This window comes from Homo sapiens, chromosome 3 (genome assembly GCF_000001405.40).
Source record: "Homo sapiens chromosome 3, GRCh38.p14 Primary Assembly".
Taxonomy (NCBI): Eukaryota; Metazoa; Chordata; class Mammalia; order Primates; family Hominidae; genus Homo; species Homo sapiens.
This window is the reverse complement of record NC_000003.12, coordinates 172,299,288-172,318,613: the sequence shown is the minus strand read 5'-3', so window position 1 is coordinate 172,318,613 and position 19,326 is coordinate 172,299,288. Positions and strand designations below refer to the sequence as shown.

The 19,326-nt window shown below is 40.3% G+C and overlaps 1 protein-coding gene across 11 annotated transcripts in view, besides 3 other annotated features; it reads right to left on the bottom strand.

Annotated features, from left to right (window-relative positions):
- FNDC3B (fibronectin type III domain containing 3B) overlaps positions 1-19,326 on the bottom strand; it is a 362,092-nt gene that overhangs the window by 83,056 nt on the left and 259,710 nt on the right. For all 11 annotated transcript variants that reach the window (NM_022763.4, XM_017007062.2, XM_017007064.3 and 8 more), the window contains 2 exons: positions 11,113-11,251; positions 7,733-7,786 (listed from right to left, as the gene is read on the bottom strand). In NM_022763.4, coding sequence (NP_073600.3) covers positions 7,733-7,786; positions 11,113-11,251 — 193 coding nt within the window. The remainder of the gene's footprint in view (positions 1-7,732; positions 7,787-11,112; positions 11,252-19,326) is intronic.
- Positions 3,030-3,928: an enhancer, noted in NCBI's record as "H3K27ac-H3K4me1 hESC enhancer chr3:172032476-172033374 (GRCh37/hg19 assembly coordinates)". NCBI's record gives its function as "activates a minimal SCP1, AML or CMV promoter by ChIP-STARR-seq in naive H9 embryonic stem cells {active_cell/tissue: H9 hESC(naive)}" and the evidence as "EXISTENCE:reporter gene assay evidence [ECO:0000049][PMID:30033119]".
- Positions 12,741-13,035: an enhancer, noted in NCBI's record as "tiled region #11565; HepG2 Activating DNase matched - State 14:Gen5'". NCBI's record gives its function as "activates a minimal TATA promoter and a strong SV40 promoter by Sharpr-MPRA in HepG2 cells {active_cell/tissue: HepG2}" and the evidence as "EXISTENCE:reporter gene assay evidence [ECO:0000049][PMID:27701403]".
- Positions 17,125-17,793: an enhancer, noted in NCBI's record as "OCT4-NANOG-H3K27ac hESC enhancer chr3:172018611-172019279 (GRCh37/hg19 assembly coordinates)". NCBI's record gives its function as "activates a minimal SCP1, AML or CMV promoter by ChIP-STARR-seq in primed H9 embryonic stem cells {active_cell/tissue: H9 hESC(primed)}" and the evidence as "EXISTENCE:reporter gene assay evidence [ECO:0000049][PMID:30033119]".

The following is a 19,326-nucleotide window of genomic DNA, read 5'->3' as shown; positions in this document are numbered from 1 at the left end:
CTTCATCCATGCTGTGGGACCTAGTTAATTACTGTGCTTGTAGCTGCTCCATTCCCTTCATTCTCAGAACAGTTGTTATCTAACCAGAAAAGGTTTGTGCAAATTCACTCAGAAGGATTATGAGAGATCATCCATATGAACTATTCAACACTTGAGCTAAGCAGGAGTCTGATTAATTGATCTCTTACTGATTATCTTCTACGGGGCCAACTCAATCCCTAAACAAGGCTCCTCCTGAATGATACAGAAGTCCAAGAAGCTGCAATCTGGGGCTGGCCACCTGCTTCAGGAGGTTTCTGTGACAGGACTGCTGGGCCTGCCTGGCCTGGCCTGACCTGCTAATGGCTCCCCAGGGGCATGGGTTCTACCGGCTGCTGGCCTTTTCTCCTCTCTCAACTTTTAATTATGCTTCCCCTGATTTCTGTGGCATCTGTTTCATTCTTAGTCCACTGTGTTTTACAGCTGTGTTGGCTCATTAGTCACCAGGGAAACCAAATGTGAACTTCCTTTTGGGCTAGCTGAGTCATGAGTAAGGAAGGTTTTTGGGAACTCCAGTAGTCACATTCCCACAAAGCTCTTTTTCTGGTTATTCTGTGTATCCAGATGTGAACTTCCTTTTGGGCTAGCTGGGTCACAAGTGAGGAAGGTTTTTGGGGACTCCAGTAGTCACATTCCCACAAAGTGCTTTTTCTGGTTATTCTGTGCCCTGCATGTCATGTCCAGAAGTTAGGCTAATAGCAAGTTAACATCCATCGATAGCACTAACATCAGTTTTTATTTAGTTCAAACAAGTGACATAAACCTCAGGGCTCTTGTTTAAGTTCCTGACAGAAGAATGTCATATTCCTTATACATGATTGTTCTAATTGTTGACTGTCCCTATCTCAGATCTTAGCATCTGCTTAGGTAAACTTATATCAACAATATGGAACAATCGTTACACTGAATCGGCTGTTGTCCAACTTATCTCATTCAGTCTTACGTACCCGTGAGATAACTGACACTGTTTTTCCAGTGGAAAGGCCGAGGCTAAGGCGTTAAATTACCTGCTTGGGGTATACCATGAGTAACTAGAAACTGTTATGGTTTGAATGTGTCCCCCATGTTTATGTGTTAGAAAATTAATCCCCGGCCGGGCGTGGTGGCTCACGCCTGTAATCCCAGCACTTTGGGAGGCCGAGGCAGGCGGATCACGAGGTCAGGAGATCGAGACCATGCTGGCTAACATGGTGAAACCCCGTCTCTATTAAAAATACAAAAAAATTAGCTGGGCGTGGTGGCAGGCGCCTGTAGTCCCAGTTACTCGGGAGGCTGAGGCAGGAGAAAGGCGTGAACCCGGGAGGCAGACGTTGCAGTGAGCTGAGATCGCACCACTGCACTCCAGCCTGGGCGACAGAGCAAGACTCTGTCTCAAAAAAAAAAAAGAAAAAAAGAAAAAGAAAATTAATCCCCAATGCAACATGTTGAGAGGTGGTCATTTTTTTTTCCTTGAAAAGGTGATTAGGTCACAAGGGCTCTATCCTCACAAATGCATTGCCATTTTGACAGGAGTGAGTTTGTTATCACAGGAGTGGGTTCCTGATAAAAAGACGAGTTTGGTTCCCTTCCCTCTCTCACGCTTGCGCTGTCTTGCCCTCCTGTCTTCTATTATGGGAGGACACAGCAAGAAGGCCCTTGCCAGATACAAGTCCTTGACCTTGAACTTCCCAGCTTGCAGAACTGTAAGAAATACATCTCTGTTCTTTATAAAGTAACCAGTCTCAGGTATTCTGTTACAGCAGCACAAAATGGATGAAGACAGAGACAAAGCTGAGACGATTAATTCAGGTTTCTTTAGATAAACATCATATCATTGATATATATCATCAATATGAATCCATGCCACATATTCATAGCAAGATCTTAGGTGACCTGTATTTGTTCTGACAGCTGCAGCAGCACCAGTTAGTGTTCTGTATGGTTCAAATTAAAACAATATCTTAAGGCAGAACTTAAAACAAGCCAACTTTGCATAAATACTTTCTTTATGTAACTAATTTTTTCTAAAATAAAAAGTTCTTATTTGCCCATTAAAATTCACTCCTTTACTCAAGTTTTCAAGAATAAGGCCAGATCACGATCTGTTTAGGAACATTAAAACAGACTGGGCAGACATTTATGAATGACTCAACCCAGAGGTTCCTAGTTTTTTTTTTCCTAAAAGCCCTTCCCTAACCTAGAGCCCTCTATATCCTCAATCCTTCTCCCATAGCTTCTTCTAGAGAAAAACTCCCACCTCTGCTAGATAGTGATATGTCATCAAGAAAAGAAGCAGGGCTGGGCATGGTGGCTCACACCTGTAATCCCAGCACTTTGGGAAACTGAGCTGGGTGATCACCTGAGGTCAGGAGTTGGAGACCATCCTGGCCAACATGGTGAAACATACTAAAAATATAAAAATTAGCTGGGTGTGGTGGCAGACGCCTGTAATCTCAGCTGCTCGAGTGGCCGAGGCAGGGGAATCGCTTGAACCTGAGAGACAGAGGTTGCAGTGAGCTGAGATTGTGCCGTTGCACTCCAGCCTGGGCAACAAGAGTAAAACTCCATCTCAAAAAAAAAAAAAAAAAAAAAAAAGAAGAAGAAAGAAGAAGGAAAAGAGAAGCAATGCAGGGTCAATGTAGCTTGGAAGGGTGCCCAAAAAAGATGGGCAGTCAAAGGGATTAGTGTGGGTGCGGCCAACGGGTATAGTGTCTCAAGCATGGTGTCCGCCTTCCCCCTCTCACTGACTCTCCATTGTGGAAAGAACCTATACCTTGAAAAATCTAGCATCTAGTCATTGTTTTGCTGTTAACCAAGCTCCTTTTTAGGAGCTTCTGATCTGCTTTCTGCTACCCATCAGAATGACAAGTGCTTGTAGATTAAAGTGTAAACACGGGGGCGGGGACACTGAAATAAAAATGTGATGTGACTCATCTAACGTTCAAGTGAAAAAGACTTGAAAATGACCTTCTGCCTTTCTGCTCCTAATGGGGTGTCTCCTGAAGGAGGAAAGCGGCTAAAAATCTACAAAAATGCGGGGTCAGTTATTAAACCCCATGGCTCTAAACACTAAAGCTCACGAGTCACCACAAGGGAACTTGGCAAGGAATGGCCACACCTTCTCAAGTAATAAAAACTGACCTGTTTCAGGTGAAAATCGAAACTGAAGGCCACAGCTGAAAAGCCAATGACACCTGTAAATTCCTTTTTTTTCTTTTCAGAGACAAGTCTCGCTCTGTCGCCCAGGCTGGAGCGCAGTGGTGCAATCTTGGCTCACTGCAACCTCTGCTTCCCGGGTTCTAGCAATTCTCCTGCCTCAGCCTCCCAAGTAGCTGGGACTATAGGCGCCCACTGTCATGCCCAGCTAATTTTTTGTATTTTAGTAGAGACGAGGTTTCACCGTGTTGCCCAGGCTGGTCTCGAACTCCTGAGCTCAGGCAATCCACCCGTCTGGGCCTCCCAAAGTGCTAGGATTACAGGCGTGAGCCACCGCGCCCGGCTGTAAATTCCGTTTTTAGCTGCTAATTACCATTTCATAGTCATAGTAACTTCTTGTATTGATTTAAAAATTAAGATGTTGTCTAGTTAGTTATTAATGGAGAAATAACAGGCAGTTAACCCTAGTATAGAACTATTAATGAGTAATTTCCAAGTGAATTCTATGCTACAGTGATGCAAAATTAATGACAGTGAATTTAAGAGAGGAGAGATGGTGGATCAGATTTCCCCTGTACTGTAATGCGTTTCTGTTTTCTGCTCCCCATTAGGGTTCCACCTGCCCTTGTACTTCAGAGCCCAGCATATAGTTAGCTGCTGATTAAGGTGGATCTTCCCATGAAGGTCAACTCGGCACAGCATTCCTAATCTCAGCAGAAATAAAGGCTGCTGCTCTTTTTCCATGCAAGTCTTTTTTTAAGAGGCTTGAAAGCTGGGCTTGATGCCCTGTCTTCTTGTTTAACCAACACTTTCAAAATTTTACTCTACTCATTTTATTGCAAAGGTGATTACAAACAACAAAAGACTAAAGTATTCTGGAACTCTAATCCATGCTGTTATACTGTAATAAAAATATGGGGCTGCAGGGGATACCTGGACATTAGTGGTTGCATATATGGAGATGAGGCAACCTCACCTCAAAGTCATGATTCTCAGACCAGGTGCCAGAGCAGAGACAGGGAAGAGTGCTATGCCTGAACACAACCTTCTTCAAGACTCTGAGCAGCACTGTCTCACTCTCAGGCAGTGATTTGTGTCTCTGTGCACCTCAAAAACTTTCTGCAATCTAAGTTTGTTTCTTCAGCCCCCTGGATGGCAGACAGGTTTATGGGTGTGTGGCTGGAGCAGATATCCTTGAAGAGGAGAGGAGGGGAGAGCTGTGGCTCTTAGAGAGGGGAGGGGTGGGGAAAGGGTGATTCCAGCAAAACATCCACTTCCCATTCTCCTGCCTCACTGCCTTCTATTAAGGCAGAGTCTGGAAACAGTCCTGGTACCAAAGAGATGCACCTGGCTGTAGAAACTACCAGCAGAAGGATTCAGAGGGATGGCCAGAGCCTTATGTGTTCACACTTCCTACAGACCAGATGCCGTTCTCCTGTTTCCTTCTTGAAGCTAAGGCCTGTATAGCATAGGAATGTGGGACCCAAAGACCAACCCAAGTGAGCTACTCTCAAGAGTGCTACTGATCCTCAACTTAGCTCTAAATTTAGAAACACAGACTGCCAGACTGTTCTGTCAGAAACTTCACTTCTGAAATGACAGGATGGGCAGGAATGAACTTGTTACTACTGCTTGAATTCTCATTGCCAGGAAACCCGATAGCACCATTTTTTCATCTTTATAAGGGGATGGGAAATGAGAGGGGTATAATACAAAGCAAAGAAGCTACTGGACAGAACAATTTGAGAAGCATATGGCAACGTGTTTTATTTGTGTCTGCTTAAAAGCACAAGAGGATAGGCGTACGTTTGCTTTTTCAGCTATCACAGCTATCACAGTTATCTTTACTACGTCACAGATCCCTCACAGGACAATGTGCAATGTGGACTACTGAGGAGCACACTCCATAAATGCTGAAATAATTAATGAACAGTGAAAATGATTCCAAATATTCTCTTGTCAGAAGAGACAATCCTAAATAATCTGTTTTGTGAGAGCATAAATAATGTAAATGCACACAAGCTGGTGAACTAATCTATTCACCATTTCACAGATGGAAAAAACTAAGGACCAGAGAGGTCAAGCTGCCCAGCATAAAACTCAGAACAGAACCCATATTTCCTAATCTTGGTGTTCCTTCAATTATCCTCTCCTGCCAGGAAGCTCGTTGCACCCAAAGGCAAGGGAGTGCCTTAGAATTGAGGGGGCAGGAGATGTCTAGAAAGTGGACATGAAGCCACAGAATGTAAAAGGATTCCTGTGTTGGCAAAAGATCCATGGTGGATGAGAGTCGATTAACCTGGAATCTTCAGCAAAGCTCAACAGAGCTGATACCAGCAGGAATTTGAAGGTGGGAGAGAAAAAGGGGAAAGAAGAGGGAAGGGAATTAAGAAAAGTGAGAGGAAAAGCTGGAAGGAGATCAAGTAGGAGAAAGGTAGAGGGCAAAACTCAGCCATTTAACATTTTTTGACCGCTAGCCTGTAATGGACCATGCTGAACATAAAAAGTCATCAGACGTGGCCTGTCCTGTTTCAGCAGAGGCTGTGGCATCCTTCCTCTCAGCATCATCAGCTACGACACTCTCACTTCAAATTCTAAGGGAAGGGATGAGGAACTGAGCAATGGTAACTGAGTTACCATTTCCTGCAGCACCCGAGTTTTCTTTGGAGGTTTCCCACTGAGGTATGTATTCAACTTTTTTGGCCTTCCTTAACTTAGGAACTCACGGTCTTAGGCAGAGAAGCAGTAAAAAAACACAGGATTCATATGCATGCACGAGTGTGTGCATGCACGCACGCACATACACACACAGTGCCCTAAGAAGATAACTGAAAAAAAAAATGCCTTTTCTGTACTGGTGAACCTCGAGACATGAGAAAAAACAAGGTGAGTGCAACAAATCAACATATAAAAAGAGACTTTCATTAAACGGTCACCTGTCCTTACAAAGAGGAAGAGATGGGAAGATGTTACTATATGCTCACAGGTCATTCGAGTTTCTTTCCAACATTCCTGACTGACTATAAAAACCTCTAAGGGCTGGAGAGGTGGTTTCACTTTCTAATTAACCACCTTAAAATGAAATCCACCTAATCTGTAGAATGTACGGGTTAAGGCTGAGATTTTACCAACCTGCATGTACAAGCTATTCGAAACGATCCTAAGAACAACAGACGGTTGTTCTGGGTAACTTGGAACTCTAGCTGTTCAGATGCAACCCAGATGGGAAAATATGCTTCTGCAGAAAGTGATGACGGACCTCTCTTTCACATCAAAATTTCATCATGGGAATTCCATCCAGTTTTCATTTTACATTTGGTTAAAATATTTTTCCATACTTGCCAAGTCATTTTTTGCCTAAGTTCTAAATCTTTCAATCTCTCCAAATTTAAGTCACGAAGGCTAGCTAACTTGCATTTCTCCCCAAATTCCACATTTCTTATTCTTAAAATCCTTAGCCAATTTCTCAACCAGAGAAAGCATAAAGTGGGGGCAAATGAATAAATACAATTAAGATCTACAGGAACAAAAAGTACAGTTGCTTTTTTTTTTTTTTCTTTTTGAGACGGAGTCTTGCTCTGTCGCCCAGGCTAGAGTGCAGTGGTGCGATCTCGGCTCACTGCAAGCTCTGCCTCCTGGGTTCACAGCATTCTCCTGCCTCAGCCTCCCGAGTAGCTGGGACTACAGGCGCCCGCCACTACGCCCGGCTAATTTTTTTTTTTTTTTTTTGTATTTTTAGTAGAGACGGTGTTTCATCGTGTTAGCCAGGATGGTCTTGATCTCCTGACCTCGTGATCCACCTGCCTTGGCCTCCCAAAGTGCTGGGATTACAGGCGTGAGTCATCGCGCCCGACCTACAGTTGCTTTTTAGAAATGAAAGGCTTCTAGGTCAAGTGTTTCCTGCCTGAGATTCTGTGTGTAGAGTTAGCTAGGCCAGAAATGCACTGGGTCCACCAGTTGGCACACAGTGGCTTTGAGAATAAGGACACTCCACCGTAGATACCTTCCAAGGGCCTCTGGTGACATGAACAGCAAGGGGGGCATCCGATACAGGACATTCTAACCCACAGGGCACTCGCACATGGGTAGAATGTGACTTCTATGTACTGCTCTGCTCTCACAGAGGCCACTCAACAGTGTAACACCAAAGTACATACATGGCATTCAAAAAGGAAAAGCAAATTATGCTTTCCAAGCGGCAGTGTGTTTTACCTTATCAAAATCATCTGAGCAGTCAAGATGACAAAGCAGTCAATTTTTAATACAAATTATTGGCTGGCTAGACACTGGAGATCCAAAATAGATAAGACCCCACTTTTTTTCTTTCAGCAGTAGTGCTTGCAAATAAGCCAGGTACATATATTTCAATACACAACTCATAATACTACTTCAATCTAACTTCATTTTCCATAGTCAATAACTATTGATTTAAATTTCTCTACTAGCATTCCTTTTTTCTGTGTTTAGCATGTCTTATAAAAGAATAAGATGGCATTTGTTCAGTTAATTTTGTTTTTGAAATGGTGTTTTAGATGGGTGAATATGAAAATAAGCTTACCTCATCCCACTCTAAAAGGTAGTTGGTGATTTTTGAACCGTTGTCAATTGGTGCCTAAAAAAAATAGTAACATGAGATTAGAGAAAGTTGTTCACAGACAAAACTTATGAGTTACCCACCTGGCTCACATACAGTGTCTATGATAGTCCTGTGCTCTCCCCTCAGGGGGATAAAGCTGATGGTTCCTGCGTTCCTTGGTCAATCATCATCATACACTAACTTTGACATACCTCAACAGTAGAGAGAGTCCCCACTATGAATAAATCATACTCCACAAATAGCCAAACCTACCTACCACCACCACCACCTCTCCCTTTTTACACCCTCATGGTACGCTACTTCCTCTGGGGATAGGACTTTGAAGAGGGACTTTGAATTCAAGCGTAGAGTGAGAACAAGGCAGCTGAGAAACACAGGCACTGCTGGAGGTCTGGTGGAGCACAGTCAAGCCTTTCTTTTTATAACATCCCACATACAGCTTTTTAATTTTTTAAAAGTACTTAAGATTAGAAAGCCATCAGCGACATTAAGGTTCCTCTTTTTAAAAAATGGGGAAAAAATGTGATCCTCTGGATAGATGACTAGAGGCTATTCATCCTTCATACGTTAGCAGAGGGAAGTTTCATCATTTGCTTTCCTCTTAAAAAGCATGCTGAGATCTGCTTCACTGAGAAAGTGGGTTTTTAACAATGGGAAGGGAAGTAAAGAACTCTGGAGAAAAGAATGCTTTTCAGGATTCCAAGAGCTACAGGTGATGCCGCAGTGGGGTCTCTTGGAGCATTAGGGTAGACAGATCTAGAGAGACAGTGGAACTACAAGTTGGGGGAAGCAACCAGGAAGAGGAGTCGGATCGTGTCTCCCACTTCAAAAACATGCCAGGGCCGACTCTTCCCTAGGAAAGAGCAAGAGCCTAACAAACAGCACAGTGCCTTACCCCTGGCAAAAGGCAGCTCAGCTTCCCCTGAGATGTATCTGAATCCTACCTTGGCTGTTTGTCGCATGTGGTCTGGTGCTAGCTGTTTAATATCAATATCAACAACTAATTTCATGTTCCAAGAATAGATAGGTATGATAAATAATTGGGAGAATATGTAAATCACCTACTAAACTACCCAGTTTTATAGGAAGCACTCAGTAAACAGTTGTTATTGCTCTATTATGGTTAGTAATAAAACCTCAGGGGCCCAGTAAATGGTAGTTAAATTAATAATGAAATTCTTCTCCCTCTCCTTCCCTTCCTTCTCTCTTTAGAGTCACACAATCTCTGAGTCCCAAAACTCGGATCTCAGGTGAGTGCTCTAAGTCCTAAACTGTTATTTTAGGCTCTTGCAGGCTCAATCTGGAGGAGAGGATAGTGATGCACTTAAAGTTATAAACAACTGACAAAATCAAAGTTCTCTAAGATGAGAACCCATCTCTAAGATGAGAACTCAAAAAAAAACTGTTCTTTGGTAGTTTCTTTGATGATATCCTACCCCACTACTAGTCCCTTAATTCCTTGAGGGTGGGTACACTGACTTAGGTTTTTGTTTTGCCTTATCTCCTGTGTAAGTAATAACTGTTGCTGACGAACAAAAAGATGTCAGATCTTTAGTGCTTTCAGCGTCTTTGTGGATTCAAGGACAGACTGGCAGCCAGAGAATGTTCCCCTGTCCTTGTGCCCCCACCTGGAGCACTTTGATCAGGGAATCTGTTCTAAGGACATTTAAATGAAAACTGAACTAAATCCAGAACTTTCAAGTTTGTACATGACTGAATGGAACAAGAGTATGTTTCTGATTTACAATTGAGGAAAGGGAGAAAGAAAATGTGAAACGTTTTCCTCCTAATAAGAAAATTCTTTCTTGAAGTTGCTGGTCTGCCTGAGACCTGAAATTCATCCAGGTTTTAAGCAGAGTATGCATCAGTGATTCCCAACTTTAGGTTTATAAGACCCCGGGATCCCTCAGGTCATCTAAAGATGAGTTCTTATATTTTCCAAACAAAATGGATTTTAATTCTTTCCTTACAAAGATATATTTACATATGTATGTGTAAATATAGAGCACATTTTTTAAATGGATGTGTATACTCTAAGGAATTAAACAATGATGCCAGTTGGGTGTTAAAACTCTGAAAAGGTGGGGAATCACTGACCTGGATTATCCCTGGAAGCCAGGAAGGAAAATAAAATAGTTCAGATTCTAAGCCAGTTTAAACTTTGCTTCTGTCCAAGTAACACACTCAATGCTGGCCACTGGCTATGAGAATGCAGCTGCCCACCTAAGAGGGATCAACTGAGGCCCATGCTTTGCTGCTAACCACTACTCTCAATTGCTTTCATCAGCTCCCTAGACCAACCTGACTCTCTGGGCCAGAAATGAAAAGATAAAATATTTCTTCACTAATAATGGATCTTCCTAGCCATTTTCTTTCTTTCACACATTACTATTCTCCCCCCAAACCCTAAATCTTTATCTCTACCTCCATCTATTTTACATTTTAAATTATATTTTAAAATATTGATGTAGAGAAATAACTGCTATAGAGATTGATAACAATCTACTGTTTTCTCACAAACACACAACTATGATTAACAAGCTAGTGATGCCTCTTGAGGAAGGGGCAATATGATCTCTCTTTGGTAACAGCTAATTTTAGCCAGTGAATTGTGTTTCATGAAAATATATAATTCAGTCTTTTTTTCTTAAATAATTAGTAATCCTGACTGGTGTATGGCCTAAGTAGTGAAACTTAATGAAGTACTAACATAGTTTAGATCACTAAATGTTCTAGGTTGTTTTATGTATTAAACATTTCAGTATCACCACTGAAATGTGCCAAAAGGGCCATAAAACTACTTTATCTCTGAATCTTTCTTGATAAAAACTTTTTGCTAAAGTCCTCAAATGTTTGTTGAAATGAGCTAGACTATTAGAAAGTGATAAGATGTAGGTATTTTAAGTACCTATATCACTTATACGTGTTGCTTATGACCTGAAGACATTTAGAAAATACTGCTGCAAAAAAAAGCTAAAGCTAGATTTTGCAGTTCCCTCCTCCCACCCCTTTGCCCAACTCTTACAGAAATGACAACTTTTGATATAACAGTTGGTTGCACATACTTACTATGCAGAAAACCAAACATATCACAAGACTGGAGTCGTGCTAAAAAATATTTCAAATGGCTATAGACTGACCTTATATTAACTCGAGACTCTTTCTCTGTTGCCCAGGGTGGAGTGCAGTGGCGTGATCATGGCTCACTGCAGCCTTGAAACTCCTGGGTTCAAGTGATCCCCCCTCCTCAGCCTCCCAGGTAGCTGGGACTAGGAACACGTTGCCACCACACCTGGCTAATTTTTAAATTGAGACGATTCTTGATGCTTTGAGCTACCCACCTTCCACTGCAGGGTTAGTGAACTTTTGCTCCTATGTGCCAGCTTAGGGGGGAAAGGACACTCGGGTGCACAGCTGTGGGTGGTGAAGCTAACAGGCTCGGAGCAGGATCCCTTTACGGAATTGTACATGGCATACACCCTGAAAACAAAACAGACACAGTCAGTGGCAGTGACTCATCATAGAAGACCAGGATTCTTATCTTTGTTTCACCCTAAGGCTTTCTGTAGATGAACAGAATTTCTTACGGAGTGAGTATCATGCTCTTGCTCTTATCTGTTGGTCTTGTCCTGACCTATGGTTAGCATTAACAGGGGACAGTCATCCCAACAGGTATTTGTCTCAGTGTGTGCCACCCAGCTCCATTTCAAGATAGGCAGGATCTACTGACTAGAAGAGATTATTCTAAGTAAGAAAATAAACCTTAACCCCAGAACGATCTCCAAATATATGTTCTAAAACCCCATGAGCTACTCTCTGGTTGACTTTATCTGGAAAAAGGCTAAGAGTTAAGAGCTGGATAAAAAGGCAAAAGAAACAGTAATAAGAGGTCACAGACTGGAGAGAAAGCATAAAAGTACAAACAGGGTAGATACCATCTTTGAACTACATTTAATACTGTACACATTTATGTAAAACTAGGGATGTTTCACAGAGAAGCTAACAAGTGTGACTTTCTCTAATTCCACAAAAACAATGTTCAGGTACAGTTTAATCCACGTGAATATTTAACTCTTATACATGAAGCCAAGATTAAAGATGTTCGGTCTGTACACTAAAATGTTTGGCTCAACACTGCAACATATGTGCTTGATTTCTCCAGAGAAGCCATGAAGAAAAAGCATAGAACATACTATTAATGCCACACTCTTCAAATAGCATAAAATAGGGCTATGCTGATTTTTATCATCTTCCTACTATTCCATTTTTTATACTGGGAATTTATTTTTTCAAAATTGAAAATGTACTCTTAAAAAACAACAACAACAAAGAACACTTTGCTGCCTAAAACAGATGCAAGGATTAAACTATTCACAGAGTTGGCAAATAGATATTGAGCCCTTAATTCTTATAGCCACCCTCTCTGAGGTAGGGAAATCTTATTACCCATTGCAGACAGAAGGAAACACAGAGATGAAGTACATTTCCCAAGGCCACACAGTTAGAAATTTGGATCAATGGTATTTATCCCTGGAAGTCTAACCAGTATATACGGTATTGCCTATTCCCCTTGTTCATCCTGCAATCATGTTCCTCTAAACACCACAATCCACTTCCCTTAGCCCTACCCAATGAACACAAACAACAGGTAAAGATAACAACATTATGGAAGATAGGTCCCAAGTGTGTGTGTGATTTGCAAAGTCATTTCTCCACAAAGTCCATCATGAAAAATTCATAGAGGCCATACGTCAAAGGCACTAATAGATATGTCTACTTTGTACCTCAAAAGATAAAAATACATACATATTACATATTTGATCTATTTGCCTTATGGGAGGACAGCATGAAATTTGATCCAAACAAATAATGCTTATCATTGGGATGCTCTCCACCCAACCCCTGATGAAGGAAAAGGTCCTTTTTGCACGCACTGTAAGTAGGCACGTGATAATATAAAACTAAATGGTAGATCTGGTAAGATCATTTCCCTGTGTCAGGATGGGCTCACTGGGAGTAAGTTACTTTAAATGAATCACAACATGTTCCAGACATGGGCAGGGCTCAAGCCTGAACTTTGATACACAGAATTCTCCAACAGGTGACTCATGGGTTGCATCTGACCCAAGACACATGTGTATGTGTGGTGGCAGTGTGCAAAAACATAATGTTTTGAAGTATTAGAGCCACCTATGAATTAAAAGATACAGGCAATGACCATCACAAAAAGAGACAACCAGACACCATGCATTCCTAATAAAGGACTATGTCACTACCTACAAAACTGTCTTGGCAGAAAAACTGAACCTGTATCTGATTAAACCTCTTCATTGCTTTATGGGAAATATAGAGGACAGGAGAACAATATTAAGCAACACAACACGGATGCAGTCAGCCAAACTCATACTTGTGGAAGACTCTACAGGACAAACAAATTAATCTAACAAACAAGTTGCAAGAAAGAGAAAAAGATAAAGGGAAAAATGAATGGATTAAAATATATTTAAGACATATCAACCAAACCACATATTCACACATTTGAATTCCAATTACAACAAACTAAAGAAACAAAATCTTCATTCTTAGAACTGAGGAAATGGGAACAGTCCCGGGATTGTGAAGACATTTCAGGTGTGTGTGATGATGGTAATATAGTTTATAGGTGAAATAATATGATGTCTGAACCTTACTTCAAAATCATCAGGGCAGGGGAGAGGTAAGTGAGGACAATGAGGTAACAGAAGTTGAGTGATGAGAGTTCATTAAACTACTACTATCTAAACTACTATCTACTTCTGACTATATCTAACATTTTCTGAAATAAAAAAGTAAAAATTAAGCCTTCACTGAAAAATATCTGGAGCGCTCTCATTTTAAAAACCAAACTTCTGGCTTCTCTTAAAAACTCAAGGTTTTAGCAACACTTGGCTTTTTTTTTTTTTTTTTCAGATGAAGTCTCGCTCTGTCGCCTAGGCTGGGGTGCAATGGCATGATCTCAGCTTACTGCAACCTCTGCCTCCCAGGTTCAAGTGAGTCTCCTGCCTCGGCCCCCTGAGTGGCTGGGATTACAGGCACTTGCCATCATGCCTGACTGATTTTTGTATTTTTGTAGAGATGGGGGTTTCACCACGTTGGCCAGGCTGGTCTTGAACACCTGACCTCAGGTGATCCACCCACCTTGGCCTCCCAAAGTGCTGGGATTACAGGCGTGAGCCACTGCACCTGGCCTCACTCGGCCCTCTTTCCTGCCCTGTAGTAATGAGCTAAATCTGTGGGCAGCTCCCCGCTTTAGATGGAGCAGGTGCTGCAGAGTTCGCTAGAGTCCCCATCATTCCTACTGTCTCCACAGCACTGAGACTGCTTTTCAGCTGACCCTTACCCAACCCAGTTTAGCTGTTTAGGTTCTCTGCCTCCACCCAGTAAGTATGTCAGTTTGCAATGACTGGGCATTTGCCTACAAATGCAGAAGTATACCCAGGCAGATCAGGTCCTATATGTTCCCAAAAACAGCCACCGCCAAAAATCCATCTGGATAATAGAGCAGAGGGAGGAAGGCAGGGAAACAGCCTGCAAAGTACTAGCAGGATGCAGTCAGTTGTCTGGGGAAAGGTAAATTTGGTCTCAGTAAATTCTTTGTTCATTTTTAGTGGGATTCTTGGAGGCAGCAATCCATACTTCCTAGGCTGGAGAGTCGTAAGTGATGGAGACTCCTGGTGGCCAGGCTGGGAGGATGGCAGTGAGGATAAAAGTAAAAGAACCTGATGCAGGTTAGAAATTTGAGGTTGTTGAAAACAGACAGTTGTATGGGCCAGATGGAGTTGGCTATTTTTCTTGCCTTTAATCTTAAACAATGTTATGCTAAGGGTCAATGCTTTTCACACATAATATTTTGTCAGCCATTTTGCATGGCAATGTAAGTATGCTGCATATAGTACAAAAATTGGCACCACACTTAAGTATCCCTTGATTACATCTGTCAATTATAGTAGTTCAGTAAATGGACAGCAACTTACTGTTATAGTGACTAGCAACATTTTTACCAATAACTTTTATAGAAAAGAAAAATCTCTGCTAATGATGCTACATTTTAAAAGAATACTGCAATTTTTTTTTTTTCCACATAATGGCAATGAGTTTTCCATAAATATCATCATGTAAAAGGAGTATCTGTAGAGTACGGTCAGTTTCTTGGGTTAAATAAGTCAGCAAACAGTTCAGTTTTTGTTGCATTTATCCCAAGAAAAGAAAACATTTTTCTAACAATATAATTAATCTTGTTTTCACATTTGTTTCAGCTTAAATCCTGGCTAAATGCTTAGGAAACAGGTGCTCCAAGAATTTCAGAAGTATGCCTCCAACTTTTTCTAGCACGATGTAACATACTAGGAGCCACAGTTTTTGGTCAATAACATGTATTTTATAATCCTTCACTGTGCTTGTCAACCATATTTTTGGAAATGTTTCATTGCACAATTTTTCTGGGAAATGTCATTATATGATATCATCTCTGGGCAACTTGTTTGCCAAATTGTTTAGGCGGATGACTAGAAAACTGCTTCAAAATTTTCATGAAATTGCTATCCATTCCATCACTCAAATTACTGATTATCCTATCGCTGATAAAGATATAAATTGTTGACTCCCGCAGTAAAATGGTCATTGTAATGCCATTATTAATTATAGAACTACCAATTAAAAGACAAATATACTTCTCTGGCAGATGCATACACAGCATACATTTGTGTATGTATACATATTTATTTGTACAAATAAATGTATATATGTATAAATGTTCATGTTTGTAAAATTACATATTTATATATATATAAGTATTTAAAATATAATGCAATTTATTTACATATTGGATTTTTCTCATTTCTCCACACAATCTCTTGTCTCTCTGTCTCTGTCTCTCTCTCTCAGGCACACACAAACACACACTCTCACACACATGCACACACACACACTCTCTCTCTCTCTCTCTCACACATACACACACAGAGACAGGAGATTTTTTATTAGTGGCTTTATACAATACATAACACAATGCCCTTTACAGAAGCACTGAATAATCTTGACAATTACAAATGGATTCCTTTGAAATATTGTATGAACATTAAACCAAAAAAATTTATTTGTGTTAAGAATAGGGTAACAAATATGAAAGTGATTTTAATAAAGGTCTTCCTAAATTTTGCTAATCAATGTATGCATCATAGAGGGGTATTATCTTCCTCAATCACCACTAGGAGATTAGGAGAAAAAAAGAATAGTGACTGAACAGACGTGTAAGAATGATACACAAAACCTCATAGTAAAAGTGGAAAAGAAGAAACATTTTGTAAACCTGAAATGTCTTGGAATATAATTTTCCATGTGGAATCTGGCTCAAATGGCATGTCAGATGCCAACTGGAGCAGCCACAGGCATGTGAGCTACAGCACTGTCTAAAGGATGCCACTAGTCTCAATATATTCCCAGTAACAGTGAGTTGGTGGAAAGAGCTGTTCTGGCCTAGTAACTGAAGGCAACTACCAGGCAGTTAAATGACAGGGCTTCATGACTGAGACTGCTATTGAAAAAGAAGAAGGTTTGTGTGTCTGATGGGTGAACTCATGCAATAATACTAATATGGGGGCGGGCATGGGCCGGGGGAGTTGAAAATGAGAAAAAGCATTATATGAAGATATCAAGCAATCAATGTGAATAAGATAGACTCAGAGTAGCAAAATGAAAAGTAACAAGGAATACAAGAACAGAAGTCTAGGTGAGACTTCAGTACATGATTTAAGACAGAAATCTTACACTTTTAATCAAAATGTTGCAATATTAAGAGTTGGAAGAAAAAATGTACCTTGTTTTGTGCTGCTAAAAGAAATATCTCAGTTTTCATAACTGGCTCTACAGACTTCCATCACTTTCTAAATTGGTAATGCACAAACAAAAATGGCAAGGAATTTATTCACTTATTTATTTATTTATTTAGAGACAAGGTCTCCTGCTGTTGCCCAGGCTGGAGTGCAGCAGCTGCAATCAGGGCTCACTACAGCCTCAACCCCTCTGCTCAAGCGATCCTCTCACCTCAGTCTCCTCAGTAGCTGGGACCACGGGCATACATCACCATACCCAGCTAATTTTTCATTTTTTGTAGAGACAAGGTCTCATTATGTTGCCTGGGCTAGTCTTGAACTCCTGGGCTCAAGTCATTCTCTCGACCTCTCAAAATGCTGAGATTACAGGTGTGAGCCACTGCACTCAGCGTAATTGTTTATTTTGCAGCTGTCCAGTAATGAAATTCTTCTGTAGTTGCTGTTATGAAAATTTAGTGAAGAAACTATTTCCACACGGCCTTTTGAGGCCTTATAGGTGACTGCTACATTTAAAATATTTGCGGCCACTCTACATGATAAAAGCTTACATTCCCAGAACTAAGATTATTAACTGGACTGTAAAAAGAGATTTTGCTCCTTGTTTTCAGTGTCAAGTAAAATACATCTTCATCTCAATAAAAATGTGAGTGATATGATCAAACTATATACAGATTCAAAGAACTTGCATCATTAAGTCCTTTTTATTTTCACAGCTTGGAAAAACTGCAACGAGCTTGGGAAAACCAAAAGGTAGCACTTATACATGACTTTACAGGTCTAAAATAGATTTGCACATATATTTGCTCTCATCCTATTTTCCTGAGGCTGGTATCATTATCATTCTCATTTTATACATGACAAAGCGAGACCAAAGAAGTTTCAATGGCTCGCTTAAGTACACACCCTTAGTAAATGACAGAGCCATTAACTTCAAGTTGCAAGCCATGTCCACTATGCATCATGCTGCTTCACCGAAGCAATTCAAGGCAGAGGAAGCTACATCTAAATAAGAGTTGCAAGTGTTAAGATTCTTCTCTAGCCTAAAAAAGACAAGACTGTAAAAGGAAAAAGAACGTATGATCTATATGGACTGTGCATTAGGCAGTGCACAAAGACTAAATCTGGACTATAGACGTTTTTATTAGGAGAGAAAGGATGTTAAAAAAATACTAAAATTGACCATCCCCAAGGAGAGAGAACTTCCTATCTTCCTGGAAAGCAGAGAGGTAGAACAAATAACAGTTGGTGGCACCCTAGGTTGTACGTGTTTGGTGTCACATGTGTGTCAAATACCAAATGCAAGGAGTCCCAAATGTGTCAGGAGAAAGTCTAGACCCAAGGCCCCTAGATGGTAACCACGTCATGCTCCCATCCTGTTCCTTTTGGGGAATCCATTAACTATTCTATCTGCCCAGAAGTTCAAGATGTTCATAGGTTTTGTCGGTAAAAATAGCTGATGAGCAAGTGTTCTCAAATTTACCCTTTGTAATAAGGGTTTAAAAAAAAAATAAATGGAACAACAGACAGGATGGTAAATAAAGAGAAGACTCTTCATAACATTTAAGTTTCTTAAAAAGGATATTGTAAGCTCATGAATGAGCAGGAAATTAATAAAGTAAACCTTTACTAACCACAGGAACAATAAACTGTTAAAGCACGGAGCAGAAAGAAACATATGTTAACAATGAATAATAGATAACATTTACATGACTTTTACATTTTCTGGTTTTACATTTTCTGGTTTGTTGTTAAATTGACCATTTTGAATAATGGTTAAACCATTTCTATTATCATCTTAGCTTCACAAATTACACAGATCTTCTTGTACAGAGTGTGTGAAAAGCTCAATACGTTTGGGCGGAAGCTAATTGACTCAAAATCCAAAGTTTTGATTTAAACAGGAGGAGATGGTTGCAAGAGAGCTCATCTAAACAATATGATAGCTGAGCAGATGTGCACTTTATGCCTTAAAACAAAACAACTTACTCTGATATACATTACTTTAAACTTATTTTTAAGAACTTATGCAGCTAATAAGATATTACATCCTCAACGCACATCCTTGCTTTACTACCTTTTTTTTAACTGAGAAAATCATGGCAGAGCGTTCTATGTGAATTGACCAAAGTTAAAACAGCCCGTTCAGGGCAGAACCAGACTCACACTCAAGCCTCCTGGTAATTCATATACGCTCTTCCTACTAGGCTACCTTGCCTCCAACCTCATCCCGAAATCACAAAGAAACTCATGATGTAAATTAACCTTTGGAAAGTATAGTAATAGATGTATATTTCATGCTTACAATTTTATTCTGCAATCTTTATGTATGCATATATAATTGAAAAAAAAAAGGGAAACAATGTGTTGTTGTACATCCAGTTAAATAAAACTATATTTTCTGGGGAACTTAAATATTAGATAAAATAAAGATTAAAAAAAAGTTTTTTTAGTGTTATGGGTCATATTCAGACCTTCTTATTGGCAAATAAATAGATGGATGTATCTTTAAATAATCAGATGGTCTCTCTAAAAAATTCAGATAACACTTTCCTCCTTACAGATCTGTGGTTGGCTGGGTTTCTTCCTAAAATAAGCTAGCCCTACCTTCCAGAGTAGTCACAGTAGAGATTCCAGAAAATCACAGGAGAGATTTCAGGCTACATACTATGCCACATGGGTTAACTG